General features: G+C 34.9%; 1 long non-coding RNA gene across 1 annotated transcript in view; it reads left to right on the forward strand.

The window, feature by feature from the left end:
• Positions 1-7,027: 7,027 nt before the first annotated feature.
• Positions 7,028-24,077, forward strand: part of LINC02462 (long intergenic non-protein coding RNA 2462) — a 121,637-nt gene continuing 104,587 nt past the window's right edge. Inside the window, exon 1 of the long non-coding RNA NR_147155.1 lies at positions 7,028-7,116. This is a non-coding gene — a long non-coding RNA (long intergenic non-protein coding RNA 2462). The remainder of the gene's footprint in view (positions 7,117-24,077) is intronic.

The following is a 24,077-nucleotide window of genomic DNA, read 5'->3' on the forward strand; positions in this document are numbered from 1 at the left end:
ACAACACTCAAATACCTTTAATCCAGAAAATTTTAATTACCTAGCCATGCTAAAAGTAACAAAATCATTTTCCCAGCTGCTTTTATATTGCTTATAAAATAAGCCCTTGAGTACAATGATAAGTTAAATGCTACTTTTGTATTCATGAAAAAGGAATCAGTCTGAAAAGAGTGCAGCTGCCTCAATACTTTCAAGAAAACCTTTTATCTTTTGCATAATCACACAGATTCACGTGCATGCACGTGCACGCACACACACACACACAAACTTTAAAAGGTGAGAATAATTTTTATCCTGTTTTACATTCTGTTCAAGCACACTTTGGTCTATCAATTGATGACAGATACATTGACAGAATGAAAATGAAACTTTTGAATAAAAAGTTATTTTATGATGATTATATGATTTTAATATTTGACATCCATTTTGAAATATTCAAGAGAGTCGATAGTTTTATTTTAAGTATAATGAGATGCTATGAATGTAGTATTTTAAAAGTTTTATCTACGTTGCACTAATATTTTTACTGCACTGAAGTAAAAACAACCAATTATCATTGGAAGCCTACTTATGTACATGTGACTCAAGGTTTATTTAAAATAATATATTTGCTGAAGTTTTGGTGTCCAGGTCTATAAAAATCACTCATTATTTAGATATGAATTTAGGATGCAGTGACAGTATGTTTCAAATGTGTTACCTTTTGTGATTCTTTGCCTAGAAAATTTGTTAAGTCTTGTCCCAAAATAATAGTTATCTGTCAGACAGCATTTTTAATAACTATTTTTCATCTCATCTACTTACAAATTATATAAAATAATTCATTTAATAAATCACTTAATAACAAAATAATTACTTGTACCCGTAAGACTCCATAATATTTAATACATTATGAACCTATATTCCTATGGGAATCCTCTCCTTCCTTGAATTCTTTATGTTATTTCCTCCTTGACTGCTCTTTCTCAGTATTTTACCTCAGTTCCTTTTACACTGATTACTCTTTTTATTCAGTTTTCTTTAGGTATGACTGAAAATAGAAATTGTGTACATTTGGGGTGCCCAACATGATGATTCTCCACAAAAAGTCATTGTGGAATTGTTACCACAATCAAATTAATTAATACATCATCACTACCATTAGTTGCCATTATGTGTTTATGTGGTGAGGACACTTAAAATCTATTCTCAAGATGTTCGTGTTCTTTTCTTCTCCCTCCTCTCTTTAACCTAGGTATTCCCTTCCAGGTCCATAGCTTTATGTTTCCCTACAACAGCTCCTGCTCATGAAAAGATTTACTAATGTACTAATAAAGTATAAGCTTCAGAAAACCTCATTTATATAGGGCTTATTTTTAGGAATTATACTTAATATTGTATTTTAGAATGTATAGATTATTAAGGGGCCTCCAAATTGTACAGGCTTCCTTCTGGTGCTGTAAAACTTGCATCAGCCCCTGCTCATGATGCTATGCACCTGACCATATCTGAGTCTTAAATGTACACCTGTGAGTGCCTTTACATATTACCACCTAGATATACTTTCCAACAGGGAGGATTCACACAGGCATCCCAAACTCAGAGTATGCAATTTGAATTTATATCTATACTCTAAACTTTTATTCTGGTAATTGAATTTTCACCCAGTTAGTCACCCAACTAAGAAATGTGACAGGCTTCCTTAATCCCTCCTATATTTCAGCCCAAAACACACATGAGGAATTTCATTTTCAGCAAGACACAGAAAACCCTGAATGTGGCCACCATTGGCCTCTCCTGCTAAGCTACAGTAAATGCACCCTAAGCCATCCACATTATTTACAGACCCATTAAACCTGTGACACCTCTCTGCCTTTGAGATTACTATGTTTTATGATTACAATGGTCTCTCCATCATTTAAACTTGGGATGAATGTTTATCACTCTCTGTGAGGTCTTTTTGAAAACTTCATTCATGAATGTTTACCCATTCTCTTGGAACTTACACATTTTGTCTTTAATGAGAGCAACGTATTTTGAACCTCTAGTGGAGCACTCCTTTTAAATAAAAAATGTATTAAAATAGATTTATATCAATCCTTTCTCCTCCAGATTTTAATGCTCATGATACAGGTCCTGTTTTATTCATTTTTGTATTTTTACTTTCTAGCACAATAATGGCAAAAAATAATAGTACCTAGTAAGTGTGTTGAAAAAATGAATGGATTCATTTTGAATGAATCATTTGTGTTCTAATCTGACACCAACTCCTCCACTCATGCTCATGAGCCCATTTATTCTCTTCTACTTATTCAGGATGACACTTGAACAATTGTCTCCTCTGATTATTGTACTTCATGTATCATTTTTCTTTTCTCCACCAGATTATTTCCTTTAGCATTAAACTTGCTGTAGCATTTCCCATCTTTAACAAGTCCACCCCTTATCATACTTACCCTCGAGCTATCACTCTATTCCTTTGCTCTCTTCTAAAACACAACTAGAAAGAATTGCCTAAAGGTGTCTCTAATTCCTTTCTTGCTATTGTAGCTTGAATTCTGTACATCAGGCTATGTTCTTACCTTGCATTCCCACCATTTCTCTTCATGTCTAGGGCACCGGTGATATCGTTTTCTTCAATATTCACTCATTAGTCTATATCTTCTTGGGTTTATTAGGTGCATTGGACATAGTTGATAAGATTGTCCTCCTTTAAACACTGTCTTCACTTAGTTTCTCTTCCAAACTCATTGGTTGCTCTTTTTTAGTCCATTTTTCACCGACTGCCCTCTTAATATAAACTGACCTGGAGCTCTCTGTTTGGAAAGCTTCTATTATTTTGCTTGCATGTATGTATGCATGCAATCTCAAGTGAAATTATACCTTTGATATTCCCTATATAGCAACATTTCAAAAGTTTGAAAATCTTTTTTACATTTCACTTTTGAACTCCAGACATATTATCCAAAAGTTTATTTTGTGTGTTCCCCCCTCATATCTACTCTACATCTCACACATAACGCATTCAAAAACTAAATTTACTTCCTCCTGCTTCTCCATTTGTAAAGACTAATGTTATTTTCTAAGTTTCTCAGAACCGCAAACTTGGAGTTATCCTATGCTTTTCTCTTTGCTCTTCTTTTAGGCTCTTTCTCACAAGTGCCATGTCAAACTATTATGTCACTAAGTAATCCTGTTGATTCTACCTTCGAAATATATCCAATGTCTAGTCACTTCTGAATACCTTTACTGATAGCATCAAGATCCAAGTCACCATTATATCTTATTCGGATTACTATAGCATTTTTTCTGGGTGGCTCTTTTGCTTTCACCCCTGTCCCTTCAAAGGAAATCCTCAACTTAGCAGCCAAAATGACCCTTTGAAAATTCAGTCAAATCAGGGGAATTTTCTGCTTGAAATTGTCCTATGGCTTTCCTTCCCTACACAGCAATACAATGGCCTAGAATACTTTTTTCTGTGTCTCATAAAAACATCCATCTCTTAATTTTCTGACCTCATCTCTTACTATTTCCTGTCTTTTTATTCCATTCCAGACACTCTGCTCTGGTTGCCAATTCTCAGTCATGGAAGCTTGTGCTTACCTCAGGTTTGTTTTACTTGCAGTTTCCTTGAACTAGAACTTTCTCCCAGATATGATACAAGGAACATCTTCTTTAGTTATCTGCTCCAGTGTTGTTACATAAATGACGTTATTCTTGAACAGACTAAGTAACTCTCCCCCAACCTTCATTAGCATGTCCTATCCCATCTTCTTTGTGTAGATTTGCTTCATAGCATTCATCACAATCTTTTATAAACATATATGTTTATATATGTGTGTGTATACACACACGCACACTTCTTTATTATCCTTTGGATTAGATCATTAAAATTGATTCAAAGAAAAATCTTCTTCCCAAAATACTATTCTCAAACTCTTTTGGGAAGATCTGATTCTACCTGAATTCATTCATTGTTATCTGCATTTGGATTTTCCCCTGATACTCATTTCTAGCTCTTATTATTTACCTTTAAAGCCATCCATTACTCCTTACTTTTGCAAAATTTAAAGTTAAATTTTACCTATTTTTTCTATTGTTATTGCATTTTCCTTTGAGAATATGGCCACTTTACTGTTTCTCTTATAGTATTAGTTAATTAATACTCTTAGGCTTCCACAAATTTGAAAAATTGTAGCTGTAAATGGTTTTACAAAAATTACTTATATTGCTATTTTAGTATTTTACTTAGAATGTAGAAAGAATGCCATAACTGAAACCAGTATTAATTTAAGTAACCTTTCACAACTCTAGATAATTTTCCAGGCTTTTTAAAGACAGGCATTAAAAATAAATACACATGTGCACACACTCAACGTGTACACACACAGCCCACACACAAACATACACGAAGTAATTTTTATGAAAGTTTCTTTTGACTTCCCTTACACAATGCTTGTATTTCTTCTACCATGGGGTTTTACAATTGCTACAATCAATAGAAGTGTTTCAGATGATTATATTTAATTGTTTTCTACCAAAGTCGTCCACCATTATTTACTGATATATTTAAAGAAAATGTATTATGACATGCAATGATTCAACTTCTCAATAATTGGCACAATAAAACAAATACATTGAAAGCTAAATAAAATAATAATAAAAATGTCGTGTTGTGTAAAATTAAAAATATAACCAAACTTCATGGTTAAAAAATTGATACAACTAACAATTTATTTCATGCAGTCAACAGCAATTTAGTATGCGGCTGACTACAAAATGTTAGTCACTGACAAAAAAAGTCTATACAGAGAGAAATCTGAGTAACTTTCATGGGTATATAAATTATGAAAATAGAAATGTATGAAATGTTAAACTTTTTTTCATATTTTACAATGTGCTTTAACAATGTGTTTTATTATAGCAATCATTCTAGTCTTTATTTAATTAAATATTGAGTCAAAGCAGAGGCTCTCTATGGTAAGAAGAAAAAAAAAACAACTTTTAATTTAACTCATGTGAATGCTGGTCTTTATTCATTATTCGTTAAGTCCTTAATATGACACTGGCTTTCAATTGATGAAGTGCAGGCCTCTTTCCAAATAGTGACCACATGTTCGTGGAATGTCCAGGCCACATTGCTGTGCCACAGGTAATAATTACAACAACATTTATCCAAGTGGCTGTCTGCAAAAGAGCCATGTGTACCTTCTCCTCTCTGATCGTTATAAATGGAAAGAGACTAGAAAATTAAAGTAAAATTTCAGGGATGAAGGGACAGAACAATATATTAATCTATTTCCAGCTGGCTTAGTGTAACCACTAAGTCTTACTTTGAAGCAAGCAAAGAACCTATCCTTAGGGAGAAAAGATTTAACATAAAGGAGCATTTCATAAGTCTCTCGTCTTCCGTGGAATATTTGTTTCTTAAATTTTTCATTCTTTGTAGTAGTAGAATTTAAAGACTTCCAACTAGTCTTTGAAACTGATATGGTTTTAAAGCTGTTAGTCTCAAGTGCAGGAGTTTACATCATTATTAAAGCATTTTTTATTGTGATACACAATTTCTATAAATTACTCTGGTATTTCTATAACCAAATGTCGCCAAATATATTTTATCCCTTCACCTAAAATATTTTCCTTGCCAAAGTGTATATGTTTAACAAAAATATTATTCTTTCATATCAAAATTTTAATTCAATGCCAAGGTGAAGGCATTATCTAACATTTATATGTATAGATTATGTAATTAGACAAAACATTCAGAATAAACATTCAGGGTGAGTATCTCCCATCCCAATTTACAGTGAAGTAACTTTTGCTATTGTTGAAAATATGATACTTTTTAAACATTTCTCTGCCTTCCAAACTTTAATTTATTGAGGAGATAATTTTAAAGAATTTTTAAAGCTAATTCTAGTTTATTTTTTTAATAATATATACAGCCTTTACTTGTAAATTTATGGTAAATACACAGAAAACCAATGATAAATATCTTTTAATCTCTCTCCTATTAGTTTTTAATATTATCTCTACATAAATAACTTACAGTTTGACTATTAAAATCACACACACAAACACAGACACACATTTCATCCTATAATTGCAGCTGAAGTAATCTAATTACAGTATCAAATTTAAGTGTATGTGCTTTCTAGCAATTAGACTTTGAAAGTTCAATTTTAAGTGTATGAAACATTCATTCCAATTATCATCGAATATTGGCAAAGTCCTCTCATTTGAATGATGCTACCATTCTAAAGAGGAGAGGAGGCAGCCAGGAAGCTGCCATAAAGAGGGGAAGTGCTTTGTCTTGTAACATTGCTGAGGCTTGTGGAGTTGGGCAAAATGAGCACTGGAGTTAAATCAGCATAAATGGTTATACATATTCAACTTAAGTAAGACTTTGAATACTTATTAACCACTTTTTAAACCTATGTAATAACAAAGAAAGACTTTTTAAATTTTTAAAATTTTATAAAATTTGCTCTTGTATTTTTTTGGCTTCCTTCTCTTTAAAACAAGGAAAAGAGAATTCTTAAGTAGATTAATCCAGATTTCTACATATAAGTATTTTATATTGTTTACAGACTTTATAGAAGCTTACATATATGTTTTTCCTTTTGTATTTCCTTCTCCTTTCTTTTTCGTGTAATTAATTCTTACTCATGGGTGTCAGTCTTACAGTAAAAAAGAAAAATGAAATTGTTATATGTCTTAATTTGATTCCAACTTGTCACCTCAGTCATACTTCATGATGTGACTAAGCCTTAATTAAGTTGGGTGGTGTGTAGGAATATTAATAACTACCTGTATAAAAAATAAAATACCCCTTTACAAATTAGGGCTTCAGAAATATTTCGCATCTTACAATCAATTCTGTTCCTTGAAAATTGTGGAACTAGTAACTTTTAACTATTGTTTCCCAAGCAGTATACAATAAGATTCTTTCTGTTCCTTTTCAACATGTCATCATTTTGAATGCCTGTGACAGCTTTGTGCAATACTTGTACTTGCTTACAATTTTATTATTTTTATTAAACAATAGGGGAAACAAGAAGAATCCTAGATGTCTCAATGAGATGAAGAATTGCCTACTGTTTATCACCCTGACCCAGTCTTTCTCCCCAAGACAAGGTAATGAAAAAGATAATATCACCTCCTTGCTTTTAAGAAACCCGAAGTAATCCTCATGAAGTTTGGCTATGAAAAGCACTCATGGGTTCTGAACATTTGGAATAAAAAAGAAAAATATCTTCAGTAGAAGGCTAAAGATAATATTTGAATATTTTTACATATTATCTCAGGTAGAAAAAACGGAATTCCAAAATAACCTCTTGAAAGATCTCTTCAGGAACAGAAATTTTTATATCATTCTTTAAAAAATAACCCATGTAGACTTCACTCAGAAAAAGGCATTATCCATTACTTTTTACAAGGTTATTAAAACACTTTCTCCTAGGATTCCTATGGGTCCCTCATGAGATAATGTAATTGAAAATATCTAGCTGATGCTTGACACATAGAAGGCACTCAAATACTAGTTTATGTCTCCATGATCAACTGAGATATTCACTTCTTTGCACAAACATTCAGGAAATACTGGTTTTTTATGCTTTACTTATTTTAAAATATATGCCATCACTTCATTCTGAAGTCAGAAGACACACTGTATGACCAACTCTTTTTAAAAATGAAAAAAAGGTCAAGCCATGAAATCTAAGTGAATAATTAGGAAAACCCTGAGTTAGAAAAACTGTTATTTTTCTAATTATTGGCCTTGAATCAGTTTTTAGCCTTGTCCCTTTTTCTTGATTTATCAGTCTCACAACACCGGGAACCTATTCTATGTCTGGAACCTCTATAGTGTCCTGCATAGCTTGCAATACACGTGCCCATTTACTATTTTCTAGTAAGTATTAAGCTAATGGTACATAAAATAATGCTAAGATTGTGCCTTTGGATTCTTGAGGAAATAGAACAATGGAACTATCCTCAAAAACAGGAGTATCAGGAGTGGGTGGGAAGAAGGCAATCACGCCAGAAAGAAAAAAATATAGGAATTCTGCCTAGCATTGTGATATTATATGCATTTTTGGGAAATACAGTTTTTTTATTTTTCTCCAGTAAAAATACATGTCTCTGTAAATAACGTGTCCAGAATTATTTCTATATTATTCTTTTCTAAAACAGTAAACAAATGAACTAAGGCAAATATATTGAAGTTTTTATTAGCTCCCCTGCTTGATCCTTATATATAAGCTTCTGCTGTTTCTTTTAAGTCCTCAATATGTGGGCTGCCCTGTTGCTTTTCAAAGAACCTTCTTATAATAGAAAATGTTTAATTGAAATCAGCATAATTAAGTAAAAGGGGCTGGGCGCGGTGGCTCATGCCTATAATCCCAACACTTTGGGAGGCCGAGGCTGGCAGATCACGAGGTCAGGAGATCGAAACCATCCTGGCTAACACAGTGAAATCCCATCTCTACTAAAAATACAAAAAATTAGCCCGGCGTGGTGGTGGGCACCTGTAGTCCAAGCTGCTCGGGAGGCTGAGACAGGAGAATGGCTTGAACCCGGGAGGCGGAGCTTGCGGTGAGTGGAGATTGCACCACCGCACTCCAGCCTGGGCGACAGAGCGAGACTCTATCAGAAAAAAAAAAAAAAAGAAAGAAAGAAAAGAAAAAAAAGGGAATTTATTCCTACTCACTTTTATTAGCATCTGTATAACAATTATTTTATACCCATCGAGCACTAAAATGTTGACTTAAATCACTTTTACAGTTTTCTATAAACGGCAGTACTCACCTTGCTTTAAATATATAAAATGAGTCAATTATTTATTGAAATTGCAAGTTCTTTGAGGTTGAAGGGTTTCATAAAATTTTTCTAATAGCTTCACTGGTTGGAACAAAATGTTATACTCTAAATATTCAGTTCTTAGAAGATGATGGAAATTTCCAAAAAAAAATGTCAATATTCTGATTAAAATTGGTGGGCAAAAGAGCTTCTGCTTTGAAAACCATGCCTATGTAATTAGTGGGAAAAAAAGATATTTTATATTCTTGGCTCTCTGTGCCTCTCAAGTGAACATATGGAACTCAATATGGGATTAAATCAAATACTGAATGTGCAATAACTCTCCTCTACCTCAGTTTTTCTCTTTCAATCTATTTATTTTCCTTTTAACCCAGATTGAATCTCTCCATATGCCGGTTCACATTTTAAAATAGCAACACGTTCTCTTAGATTGCTTTTATGTTACGCTAAAAATCCTAGGGTAAATGTCATTAACTGTAGTTTTAACCATTAATCTCAGCCCCTCATTATACAATAGATTTTCTATAGAATTTTCTCTATATTTGTAATTATGACTAATTTAACTCTCAATAAGGAAAACTTTTCAGAATCCTTTAAGTGTCATGATTTATCTTAAGCAATACTAACCAGCAAGAGGGAAACTTGAAGTAGTAATAGTTGGAGGTCAAGCCAAATGTTAATTTGCCTACTTATAACTTTTGTTAAAGTTATAACAAAGAAATTGTATTTGAATAAAAGTTATATATCTGTTTAAAGTATTGAAGTCTAAGAAAAGACAGTAATGTAAGCACAAAAGAGAATAAAGGAAAATTACTTTTAATGGCAAAAACTACAATAAGTTTTGCACCAACCTAATAGCTGTTTTGATTGTTATATGATAATATCAAATGACATTGAAATAAAATTAGCAATTTTGGAAGTATTGTGTGACTACATAATTTTGCTGCACTAATGTAGATACACAAATTATATATATTTTATGTATGTTATTGATAATATTTCATTCTGCATACTTAAACCTGCTGTACAAAAATGTACAAGGTGTACTTTATTGCTTGGAAAAACATATGCAGCTACTGTTTCTTTAAAAATAAAACAAATGAATGTATAAATTTAAGTTCTTCAACAGGTGTTAAAGGGGGACCCCATATTTCAGGGTTCTTCTACAAAAACTTATTTCTACCTAGGCTTCAGATCTTATAAATATCAGCTCCCAGGAGAATATAATATAATACACTCCATTGAAATACCAGACCCAGAGAGCTAACCAGAAAAATTTTATGAAATTTTTACTCAAACAAAGGCACATACCAACATAAATATCAAGCAAACAATCGAACACTCAGGAAGTACTGACAGGTAAACAAATATGTGAACTTATTTGGCAGGAGATGACAGAATCTTTAACTGAATAAATAAATTACTCTAGAAGGCTCATGCACTGATTACAGAAATGGGACCAGGTGAATCAGTTTATTGCCCTCTTCTTCAACCTGTGTTGTAGGCCAATCAAATTGAGCTCTCAATGCTAAACTCTTAACAAACATTAGTGCACAGTTGGGTACAGAAGGAAATGATAAAAGTATGAACACACTTCTGTCTGTTTTATTCTTGCTCACTTGACCTCAAGACAACAGGTAATCAAAATTGATTGTAATGTTCCTTAGAATTGTGACCTGTGGAAAGCAATATATTAGCAATATTATGTTGATGGCATGTCTTGGTGTATGACTTCTCCTCTTCTGGAACCTCATTTTCAAATCTGGCTTTGCAGTGATTAAGTTGGATTGCTTTTCACCATAAACATTTACATCTTGCATACGATAGCCACTCCATCCCCCAAACCAGAGCTTAGCTCTTTTGGAGTGCTGTGCCTCTCCTGTCATGGTAAGGCACTGCCCCATTAATTCATGTCTTCAACGCTGTTAAGACAGCAGGGGTAGAGACAGACTTCCCTTTGGCTTCTTTACTCTGAAAGCACACTCAGAGGAGCAAACTGTGTGTATCTGTATGTCTGTGCAAACTAAATTATTAGTTAAATTTCTTAGAAGACTTAAAGATAAATTCAGGAATCTTAAATAGCAAAACATTATTGTAAACAGGAAATTCTACCCAGTATTAAATTAATTCTAACTATATAACACATTACCAAGACATATTGATATCTCAATATTTAGTCTGTGTCTCATTTCCAAACTGAAATGATAATAAAAAATATTTTATACCTAGATAGTTATTTGCATTCCTTTCCTTCTAAAGTGAAATAATCAGAAACAGAATTTAAAGGACTTTCACACATTAATAAGTGCACTCAGAAAAATAGATAAAAACATAACTTCTTAATGTTGAAATCAGGAAAAAAGTCTCTAGAGAAGCTATGTAGTCCCTTATATCATATGTTATTAAAAGTTTGAAGTTATTTCTTAAGCAAATTTATTATTAAGAGGCATGTTTTGAAAAGGGAGTAGGGCAAATATGAAATAAAAGAACAAAGCATTAGTTCAAAAAGGATTCATTTGACTGGAAACCTAGAATTATTAAGTTAAATACTTCCTCTTGGAGTTTATCAAGTATACTTTCTGGAATTGTAAATTACTTACACTCTCTATGATGAAACTAGCTCATCACTAGCCATTCTAGAGACAAATCATAGATGAATGTTGTCTTATGTACATTTCAAGATAGAGTAAAATTTTGCCAATATAAAGAGATTTCCAAGTCATCAATAGCTCTCAACTAGTTAGTGTCATAACAAAATTATCAACAATTTACACTCAGCACCATTCCCATTACTAGATATTTGGGATTGCTGTGTTTTTGCAAACACCCACACAGCAGGAGGCCTATGCTACTTTATGATCTAATCAGTTGAATGGTAGTTTGGAATTAAATTAATGCATAATAAGGTTAGCAATTGTATTCTTTTTTTGAGCTCTACAGATTGCCTAATTCTGATAAAATCTATGACATTCTTATGTTTGAATTATTATATGTAAATAATTCTAGTTGCATGTGTATTGAGCATGATTATTTTCTTTTTTTTTTTTTTTTTTTTTTTTTGTGAGAGAGTGTCCCGCTCTGTCACCCAGGTTGGAGTGCAGTGGCCTGATCTCGGCTCACTGCAAGCTCTGCCTCCCATGTTCACGGAATTCTCCTGCCTCAGCCTCCCGAGTAGCTGGGACTACAGGCGTCTGCCACCACACCGGGCTAATTTTTTGTATTTTTAGTAGAGACAAGGTTTCACCCTGTTAGCCAGGATGGTCTCAATCTCCTGACCTCGTGATCCGCCCGCCTCAGCCTCCCAAAGTGCTGGGATTACAGGAATGAGCCACCGCGCCCGGCCTATTTTCAAATCATAATTTATGTATATTACTTATGTTTTTATTAGTTATAATTCTACTTACATAGTAATGCAATTTTACTAGCAATACATTAGTATCATGGAAACATGTTTTTCAAACTCTCTTCTAAGGATATACCTTAATTGTAAGGTTATTTAGAAATTAATTTCTCATCGACAGTTCATAGAAATATCTGACATAAATGGAAACATCATTATTTAGAAAAAGTTAATTTTCTTGTGTAATTTATAAATTGAGTAAATGTAAAAATGATATTTAGAATTCTTATTCAGAGATAATATCTAATCTCTTTCAGAAATTAAAAACTGCGTCTGGGTAGAAGCAAACATCTGAAATCAGAAGGCACACAATAAACTTGAAATTCTCCATTCCTCTTATTTCTTACAAAGCTGTTTTGACATTTGGAGAAAAACCTAAGCAGGAAAAAAAGCATAGGATTGTAATCAAGTCAATGGATAATATTCACCCAAGTCATTATAAAAGTAGTGCTAGACCTTCTGAGTTTGCATTTCAGCATATATGTATGAGGCATCTATTCCGAAATAGCTCAAAGGTGGCTTTTCTTTTTTGTAGAGACATCATATTGCACAAAATCTTGAGTATGACTCTTTTGATTATGTCAAGGGGAAATAAGAATATTTTAAGAACCCTTCTCTGAAGATTTATAACGCACATTAGCTTGATAAAATTGCTGAAATACATGTTGTTTAGAAATCTGTTAAGTGCTGTTTAATCCAACATTTCCTAAACACATTTTCTAACAATTTTACATTCTACGCAAAATCTCTCAAGGCCTTGATCATTTCCAAACTCTTTAGGAAGCACTACTTTAGAAAATAATTTCCACAAATATTTCAGAAGCTACTCAAAGAAAGTGCATTTAGAAATGACGCAGCTGTATTCTTAGTGAGATTATTTGCCTTTTTCTAAATGTATAAATAGTTCCTGGGTTAAAAATGCAATCTAAATAAAATATAAAAATGCAACCCCCTTTTTTCAAGATGGCTGACTGGAGACATCAGAGGCCAGTTCTCTTTAGAAAGAACCAAAGTTACAGGTGAATAATTACAACTGAAATAGATTAAGGGGAGAGTGCTCACAGGAATAAAACAGGACACAGAAAAAAGAAGGAAGCAAGGGTGTGACAGAGATTGAATCCCGAGGCACCTAGCGTGCTGTGGAAAGGCTAGATAGCAGTGTCCTTGACTCCCCCTCACCCCTGTGGCAGACTGCTGGTCTCCAAACTGTCAAAAGTCTCCTTTACCCCTGTGAGCCCAGGCACTGGTGTAGGAGGTAATTTGGGAAATTTTTGGAGGGCAATGCACTACACAACCAGCTCTCACAGGATCATCCACCCTTCCCCTACATCCGAGCTGCAGCAGTAGGCATCATACTGGGTGCACACACATTGTGGAAAGTTGTCTTGCCCAGGGAATCTCAGCCCTTGTGTGTCCACATTACCAAATCCCTGAGATACTCTCCAGTGCCCATTTGTATTCCAGCAACCACACGGGGTCACTGGACCCAGGGGAGCTGTGAAACTACTGGTGGTCTGGCCCTTGTGGTGTGATGCTCCTATTGGAAGATAGACTGCAGGGTGCAAAGGAAGTGCCCCTTGGTTCAAAGGAAATCAGAGCACCTGCTCTCTTGTGCCTGAGAGTTCCCCACTGTGGACTGGATGTGATTGTACTCCTTCCAGCAGAGATATGAGTGGAGAAGTGTGGTTTCACCCAAGGGGCCAGGTGGCACCAGTGCTCAGGCACAGTAGTGGAGAGGGAGACTCCTCCCTTCTCCATGCACACTGAAGATAACACAGCTGTGGCTGCTTACACAGGGTGGGCAGACTTGTGTCTCTGAAGAGGGCCATTCCAGGGCTATTAGGTGGGTGGCAGCACCCCTTTTGGCAATGGGCCTACCAGGCCTATTTTTGCAGAAAAGTAGGGGCCTTTCTCCTCTCTACATGGAGCAGCAGCGTCTCTGCAGCATAGAACAAGTGAGCCACAGAGCTGTCTTTGGGGCTGAGGGAAGAGACTCCATCTTGAAGCCATTTTGACACAGCTTCGGGACAGGTGTGTTCTGTGGCTCTCAGGTACATTGTGTCCTAGAGATATACTGCAGTGTCTGTCTGAACTGAAAGATGCGAGCCCCAGGACAGGGGTGTGATAGGGAAGCCAATGGCGTTCCTGCCTTCCCATGACGTGGAGTTGGTATAGCCATGTCCCCCCAAACAGAGACCTCAGCTCATTTCACCAGGAACTCCCCCTGCCACCCTCCACAGGGATGGTGCTTATGCTCCTCACTGATGTATAACCAAGCTTCATCTCCCATCCTGAGGGTGAGCAGAGAACTCAGGACACAGGGCATTCCACAGACAAGCCTATGGCATGAGGCAACAGAGAGCTCCCCCAAGTAAACAAAGATCAGGTTTATACCCATCATCCTCTTCCACAGCTGTCTGTCACCTGCAATCACCACCTACTGGCCTGCAGTAGAACTGCATTACCCAATACAAAATTTGCAGCCAGGCGTGGTGGCTCACGCCTGTAAACCCAGCACTTTGGGAGGCCCAGGCGGGTGGATCACGAGGTCAAGAGATTGAGACCATCCTGGCCAACATAGTGAAACCCCGTCTCTACTAAAAAATACAAAAATTAGCTGGGCATGGTGGCACGTGCCTATAGTCCCAGCTACTCAGGAGGCTGAGGCAGGAGAATCACTTGTACCCAGGAGGCAGAGGTTGCAGTGAGCCAAGATCACGCCACTGCACTCCAGCCTGGCAACAGAGCGAGATTCTGTCAAAAAAACAAACAAAAAAAAAAACAAAATTGCTGAGGCCAGTGTATAATGCTTGGGAGGAAGATAAGCTTGTTGAGACCTCCACCTCCCCATCCCTGAAGTAAGCTGAGAGCTTCTGCACCAGCCTAGTGCTCTGCTACTGTAACTAACATTTGAGGAAAGCACCAAACGAAGGCTGTCTATAACCAAGGAATTTAACAAAGTCATGGCCCCAGAAAGCATGTAAAAGCAAACTCCAATGACCCCATTTGTCATATATTATAGTCACAACCTCAGGAAAAATTTTCATCCAAATGAAAGTAAATTCAAAAATAAGTGACAGCTTCTCTAGATGAGAATAAACCAGCATAACAATCCTGGCAATGCAGTAAGAGCAGGAGACTTCAGCACTCAACTGACAGCACCAGACAGATCATCAAGGCAGAAAAGCAACAAAGAAACTCTGGACTTAAATTGGACTCTAGACTAAGTAGACCTAACAGCATTTACGTAACATTCTAACCTACAACCACAGAATATGTATTTTTCTCATCAGCAGATAAAATATTCTTATAAATGTACCCTATGAAAGTCTACAAGGCAAGTTTCAATAAATTTTTAAAAGTCAAAATCATATCAAACATCTTCTTGCATAACAGTGGAATAAAACTAGAAATGAATATTAGGAGGAACTCTCAAAACTACGGAATTGTAAAATTTGTCCCTAAATAATCTTTGGATAAACCCAGATAAAAATAGAGATACAGCCTTTGGTATATGGAAAAGCAGTATGAGGAAAGTTTATAAGGTTAAATGAGTACATCAAAAAAGTAGAAAAAGATCTCAAGTTAACAATGAAACATTGCACCTGAAGGAACTGGAATAGTAAGAACAAACAAAACCCAAAGCTAGAAGAAGAATGGAAATAACAAAGATCAAATCAAAAGTAAGTAACATTGAGATCAAAAAGCAATACAAAGGATCAAGAAAAAGATATATAAAATTGATAGGCCACTAGCTAGATTAACCAAGAAACAAAGAAGATTCAAATAAGCACAATCAGAAACAATAGAGGTGACATTACAACTGATACCACAGAAATAAAAAAGATTATCGGAGAAAACTATGAGCTTCTCTAAATGCACAAACTAGAAAATCTAGAGGAAATGGATAAACTCCTGGAAACATAGACACTCTCAAGATTGAACAAGGAGTAAGCAGAACTCCTAAAGAGACCAGTAACTTAAATTGAATTAGTAATAATAGTAAAGAAGTCTCCCAACAGAAAAAAGCTCAGGACCAAATTTACAGCCAAATCCTACCATGTGTACAAAGAAGAACTGGTATCAATCCTAATGAAATGGTTTCAAAAAGTTAAAGAGGAGAGAATCCTTCTTGACTCATTCTACAAGGACAGTATTGCCTGAATACCAAAGTTGAGTAAGGGCACAACATAAAAAGAAAACTAAAGGCCGATATCCCTGAGGAACATAGATGCAAAAATCCTCAACAAAAATACTAACTAACAAGCTACATTAAACAGCACATCAAAAAGATAAGACGCCATGATCAAGTGGGCTTTATTCCAGGGATACAAGGATGGTTCAACATATGCAAATAAATAAATGTGATTCATCACATAAAGAGAATTCAAAAGAAATCTATATGATCATCTCAAGTGATGCATAAAAAGCATTCAATATAAAAAACCCTCAACTAATTAAACATTGAAGGAGCATACCTCAAAATAATAAAAACCACATATGACAGACAAATCAACAGTCAACATCGTAATGAATGAGAAAAGTTAAAAGCCTTCCCCCTAATAACTGGAATAAGACAAAGATGCCCACTTTTACCACTCCTATTCAAAATGATACTGCAAGTCCTATCCAGAACAATCAGGCAAGAGAAAGTAATAAAAGACACCCATATTGAAAAAGAAAAAGTCAAGTTATCTCTGTTCACTGGTGATATGATCTTATACCTATAAAGCCCTAAAGACTCCTCCAAAAGACTTCTAGATTTGCTAAATGACTTCAGTAAACTTTTAGGACTCAAAATCAATGTACAAAAATCAGTAGCATTTCTATACACCAATAATGAGAAGCAAATCAAGAATTCAACCCTATTTACAATAGCTTCAAAAAAATTAAATACCTAATAATACATTTAATCAAGGTGAAAAATCTCTAGAGGGAGAATTGCAAAATACCCATGAGTGTATTTGTAGATAACACAAATGAATGGAAAAACATCTCATGTTATGGAACAAAAGAATCAATATCATTAAAATGACCATCTTGCCCAAAGCAATCTGCAGACTTCATGCAGTCCCTATCAAACTAGCAATGTAATTTTTCCCAGAATTCAAGAAAATAATTCTAAAGTTCATATGGAACCAAGAAACAGCCAAAGCAATCCTAAGCACAAAGTAGAAAGCTAGAGCCATCACATTACCTGACTTCAAATTTTATGACAAGGCTATGGTAACCAAAATAGCATGGTACTGATATAAAAATAGATATCTAGATCAATGGAACAGAACAGATAACCCAGAAATAAAGCCACCTCCCACAATCAACCAATCTTCAACAAAGTTGACACAAATATGCCTTGGGAAAAGGACACCATTTTCAATAAATGGTGCTGGGAAAAATTGGATAGCCATAGGCAGCATAATATAACTGGACACCTATCTCTCATCATATACAAAAATTAACTCAAAATGGATAGAAGACTTAAATGTAAGACCTGAAACTATAAAAATCCTAGAGGAAAACCTAAGAAAAACTCTTCTGGTTATTGGACTAGGCAAAGAATTGAAGATCTCAAAACAAGGGCATCAAAAACAAAAACAAAAAATAGACAAATGAGACTTAATTAAACTTAAAAGCTTTTGCACCACAAAAGAAATAATGAATACAGTAAACAGACAATCTACCAAATGGGAAAAAATATTTGCATACCATGCATCTGACCAAGGGGTAATATCCAGAATCTACAAGGAACTCAACAACAACAAATAATTCCATTGTAAAGTGAGCAAAGGACGAGAACAGACATTTTTCAATAGAAGACATAAAAGTGGCCAGCAAACATATGAGAAAATATTCAATATCACTTTTTATCAGAGTAATGAAAGTCAAAACCACAATGAGATACCATCTTACATCAGTCTCAGGGACTATCATTAAAAAGTCAAAAAAACAACAGATATTGGCCAAGATGTGGAGAAAAGGAAACACTTACATACTGTTGATTGGAATGTAAATTAGCACAACCTCTACGGAAAACAGTATGGAGATCTCTCAAACAACTAAAGATAGACTTACCATTTGATTTAGCAATCCCACTACTGGGTATCTACCCAAAGGAAAAGAAATTATTATATAAAAAAAGTCACCTGCACTCTCGTATGTTTGTCATAGCGTTATTCACAATAGCAAAGTTGTAATATCAACCTAATAGTCCACCAAAGAATGATCAGATTTTAAAAAGTGGCACATACACACAATGGAATACTACTCAGTCATAAAAAAGAAGAAAATCACGTCTTTTGCTACAATGTGGATGGAACTGAAGGCTATAATCTTAAGTGAAGTAACTCAGAAACAGAAAGCCAAATATTGTATGTTCTCACTTATAAGTGGAAGCTAAACAATAGATACACATGGACCTACAGAGTGTAATAATAGACTTTGAAGACTCCAAAAAGTGAAAGGGTGGGAGAGGGGTAAGGGAAGAGAGATTAACTCATCCCTTTATTGGGAATATTTATTATTATATTGGGTATATTATCATTGGCTATATTATTTTTGGGTATATTATTGGATATGTATCATTATATTGGTATAATATACTATTGGGTATATTTTAAATATATTATCATTATATTTATTTATTATTGTATTGGGTATAATGTACAATATTTAGGTTACATTTACATTAAAAGCCCAGACTTCATTACACAGTAGATCTATGTAAAAAAATGCACTTGTATCCCCTAAATGTATAAAAATAAAAATAAAATAAAATTGCAATCTTAAAGGAAATAGATGACATACTATACTTAAAACATGTAGTAAGTTGTATATGACATATTGATTATGTATTACTATTCTGAGCATAATATATTTTATTTTACCTAATATATCAAAAATATTTCGATGTGCAATCAATATAAAGTATTGAGATATTTAAAATCATTTTTCAAACTATGTTTTCAAAATGTAGTGTTTATTTTCACATTTACAGCACATCTCAATCCAGCATAGCCACATTTCAAGGGCTTGATAGCCACTTGTGATTAGTGGTTATTGGGCAGCTAATCTCTGCTTTATGCAGCTATCCATTTTATTTACATGCTTAAAAATTAAACTGTTCTTCAATCACATTAATTTTTTGATAAATTGAAAACAAATAGTAGCTTCAGAAATATTTTCAAAAATTGATACATACATACTGAAATTTAACCTTATTCTGATATAATTTATATATACTAAAATGCATTATGCTAAGAGTATAGTTCTATTAGATGACCAAAGTATGAAGGCATGTCACTATCACTGTATTCAAATACAGAAAATTTCCATTACTCCAGAATGTTCTGTTGGGTATCTCTGCAGTCACCCACCTCTTCAAGTTCCAGGCAACCACTAATAGGTTTCCTGTCATTCCGAATTAATGCTGCCTAATATAGAATTATATATAGAATTTTTATAGACTATATATGGAATTATATACCCAATACATATTTTGTTCTGTCTTCTTTTGCTCAGCATACCATTTTTCAAGATTCCTTTATGCTGTGTGTAACAATAGTTTATTCTCCTCTAAGGTTGAACAATATTTCATTATACGAATATATCACAATTTGTTTATCTGTTCACCTGCTGTTGAACATCTGTGTTTTATCCAATTTTAGGCTCTTTTAATAAATCTGTTATGAGCATTTTTGCAAAAGTCTTTTTGTGGATTCACATTTTCGTTTTCCCTGAGTAACTACCTAGGAGTGATATGGCTGGGATATAAAAGTAAGGACATGTTTAAAGTTATAAGAAATGGACAATCTGTATTCCAAATTGGTTGTACCATAACTAAGAACAGCAAATAAAAACTCTATTTGCTCCACATCCTTGGTATCTCTTGGTATGGTCAGTCATTAAAATTTTAAGCCATTCTAATGGGTTTACAGTGCTAATCCATAATGACAAAAGATGCTGATCACTTTGGGAGGTGCTGATTGATCATTTGATATCTTGGTTTGTGAAGTGTCTGCTGAAATCATTTGTCCATTTTCTTAATGGAGTTAGTTTCTGTATATACTTTGGATATAAGTATATGTTGCTAATATTTTCTTTTTAAATTTTTTAAATTATACTTTAAATTCTAGAGTACATGCGCACAATGTGCAGGTTTGTTACATAAGTATACATGTGCCATGTTGGCTTGCTGTACCCAATCAACTCATCATTTACATTACGGATTTCTCCAAATGCTATCCCTCCTCCAACCCCCCACCCCCTGATAGGCCCCGGTATGTGATGTTCCCCTTCCTGTGTCCATGTGTTCTTATTGTTCAATTCCCACCTATGAGTGAGAACATGTGGTGTTTGGTTTTCTTTGGTTTTATCTTGTGATAGTTTGCTGAGAATGATGGTTTCCAGCTTCATCCATGTTCCTGCAAAGGACATGAACTCATCCTTTTTTACAACTGCATAGTATTCTATGGTGTATATGTGCCACATTTTCTTAATCCAGCCTATCATTAATGGACATTTGGGTTGGTTCCAAGTCTTTGCTATTGTGAATAGTGCTGCAATAAACATACGTGTGCATGTGTCTTTATAGTAGCATGATTTATAATCGTTTGGGTGTATACCCAGGAATGTGATCACTGGGTCAAATGGTATTTCTCATTCTAGATCCCTGAGGAATCGCCAAACTGTCTTCCACAATGGTTGAACTAATTTACACTCCCACCAACAGTGTAAAATAGTTCCTATTTCTGCACATCCTCTCCAGCATCTGTTGTTTCCTGACTTTTTAATGATCACCATTCTAACTGGCATGAGATAGTATCTCATGGTGGTTTTGATTTGCATTTCTCTGGTGACCAGTGATGATGAGCATTTTTTCATGTGTCTGTTGGCTCCATAAATGTCTTCTTTTGAGAAGTGTCTGTTCAAATACTTTGCCCACTTTTTGATGGGGTTGTTGTTTTCTTGAAAATTTGTTTATGTTCTTTGTAGATTCTGGTTATTAGCCCTTTGTCAGATGTGTAGATTGCAAAAATTTTCTCCATTCTGTAGGTTGCCTGTTCACTCTGATGATAGTTTATTTTGCTGTGCAGAAGCTCTTTAGTTTAATTAGATTCCATTTGTCTATTTTGACTTTTGTTGCCATTGCTTTTGGTGTTTTAGTCATGAAGTCTTTGCCCATGCCTATGTCCTGAATGGTATTGCCTAGGTTTTTTTCTAGGGTTTTTATAGTTTTAGGTCTTACATTTAAGTATTTAATCCATCTTGAGATAATTTTTGTATAAGGTATAAGAAAGGAATCCAGTTTCAGCTTTCTACATATGGCTAGCCAGTTTTCCCAGTACCATTTATTAAATAGGGAATCCTTTCCCCATTGCTTGTTTTTGTCAGGTTTGTCAAAGATCAGATGGTTGTAGATGTGTGGTATTATTTCTGAGGCCTCTGTTCTGTTCCATTGGTCTATGTATCTGTTTTGGTATCAGTACCATGCTGTTTTGGTTACTGTAGCATTGTAGTGTAGTTTGAAGTCAGGTAGTGTGATGCCTCCAGCTTTGTTCTTTTTGCTTAGGATTGTCTTGGCTATGAGGGCTCTTTTTTGGTTCCATATGAACTTGAGAGTAGTTTTTTCCAATTCTGTGAAAACAGTCATGGGGAGCTTGATGGAGATGGCATTGAATCTATAAATTACCTTGGACAGTATGGCCATTTTCATGATATTGATTCTTTTTATCCATAAGCATGGAATATTCTTCCATTTGTTTGTGTCCTCTTTTATTTCTTTGAGCAGTGGTTTGTATTTCTCCTTGAAGAGGTCCTTCACCTCCCTTGTAAGTTGGATTCCTAGGTATTTTATTCTCTTTGTAGCAATTGTGAATGGGAGTTCACTCATGATTTGGCCCTCTGTTTGTCTGTTATTGGTGTATAGGAATGCTTGTGATTTTTGCACATTGGTTTTGTATCCTGAGACTTTGCTGAAGTTGCTTATCAGCTGAAAGCCATTTTGGGCTGAGACAATGGGGTTTTCTAAATACACAATCATGTCATCTGCAAATAGGGAAAATTTGACTTCCTATTTTCCTAATTGAATACGCTTTATTTCTTTCTCTTGCCTGATTGCCCTAGCCAGAACTTCCAACACTATGTTGAGTAGGAGTGGTGACAGAGGGCATCCTTGTGTTGTGCCGGTTTTCAAATGGAATGCTTCCAGCTTTTGCCCATGCAGTATGATATTGGTTGTGGGTTTGTCATACATAGCTCTTATTATTTTGAAATACGTTCCATCAATGCTTAGTTTATTGAGAGTTTTTAGCATGAAGGGCTGTTGAATTTTATCAAAGGTATTTTCTGCATCTATCGAGATAATCATGTGGTTTTTGTCATTGGTTCTGTTTATGTGATGGATTACGTTTATTGATTGCCATATGTTGAACCAGCCCTGCATCTCAGGGATGAACCAACTTGATCCTGGTGGATAAGCTTTTTGATGTGCTGCTGGATTCGGTTTGCCAGTATTTTATTGAGGATTTTCACATCAATGGTCATCAGGGATATTGGCCTAAAATTCTCTTTTTTTGTTGTGTCTCTGCCAGGCTTTGGTATCAGAATGATGCTGGCCTCATAGAATGAGTTAGGGAGGATTCCCTCTTTTTCTATTGATTGGTATAGTTTCAGAAGAAATGGTATGAGCTCCTCTTTGTACCCCTGGCAGAAGTCGGCTGTTAGTTCGTCTGGTCCTGGACTTTTTTTGGTTGGTAGGCTATTAATTATTGCCTCAATTTCAGAACCTGTTATTGGTCTATTCAGAGATTCAACTTCTTCCTGGTTTAGTCTTTGGAGGGTGTATGTTTCCAGGAATTTATCCATTTCTTCTAGATCTTCTAGTTTATTTGCCTAGAGATGTTTATAGTATTCTCCGATGATAGTTTGTATTTCTGTGGGATCGGTGGTGATATCCCCTTTATCATTTTTTATTGCATCTATTTGATTCTTCTCTCTTTTCTTCTTTATTAATCTTGCTAGAAGTCTATTTGGTTTATCCTTTCAAAAAACCAGCTCCTGGATTCATTGATTTTTTGAAGGATTTTTTATGTCTCTATCTCCTTCAGTTGTGCTCTGATCTTAGTTATTTCTTGCCTTCTGCTAGCTTTTGAATTTGTTTGCTCTTGCTTCTCTGGTTCTTTTAATCATGATGTTAGGGTGTCGATTTTAGATCTTTCTTGCTTTCTCTTGTGGGCATTTAGTGCTATAAATTTCCCTCTACACGCTGCTTTAAATGTGTCCCAGATATTCTGGTACATTGTGTCTTTGTTCTCATTCGTTTCAAACAACATCTTTATTTCTGCCTTCATTTCGTTATTTAACCAGTCGTCATTCAGGAGCAGGTTGTTCAGTTTCCATGTAGTTGTGCAATTTTGAGTAAATTTCTTAATCCTAAGTTCTAATTTGATTGCACTGTGGTCTGAGAAACAGATTGTTGTGATTTCTGTTCGTTTACATTTGCTGAGGAGTGTTTTACTTCCAATTATGTGGTCAATTATAGAATAAGTGCAATGTGATGCTGAGAAGAATGTATATTCTGTCGATTTGGGGTGGAGAGTTTTGTAGAATTCTATTAGGTCCACTTGGTGCAGAGCCGAGTTCAAATCCTGGATATCCTTGTTAACCTTCTGTCTCATTGATCTTTCTAATATTGACAGTGGGGTGTTAAAATCCCCCATTATTATTGTGTGGGAGTCTAAGTCTCTTTGTAGGTCTCTAAGGACTTGCTTTATGAATCTGGGTGCTCCTTTATTGAGTGCATATATATTTAGGATAGTTAGCTCTTCTTGTTGAATTGATCCCTTTACCATTATGTAAAGGCCTTCTTTGTCTCTTTTGA

Source organism: Homo sapiens, chromosome 4 (assembly GCF_000001405.40).
Source record: "Homo sapiens chromosome 4, GRCh38.p14 Primary Assembly".
Classification (NCBI taxonomy): domain Eukaryota; kingdom Metazoa; phylum Chordata; class Mammalia; order Primates; family Hominidae; genus Homo; species Homo sapiens.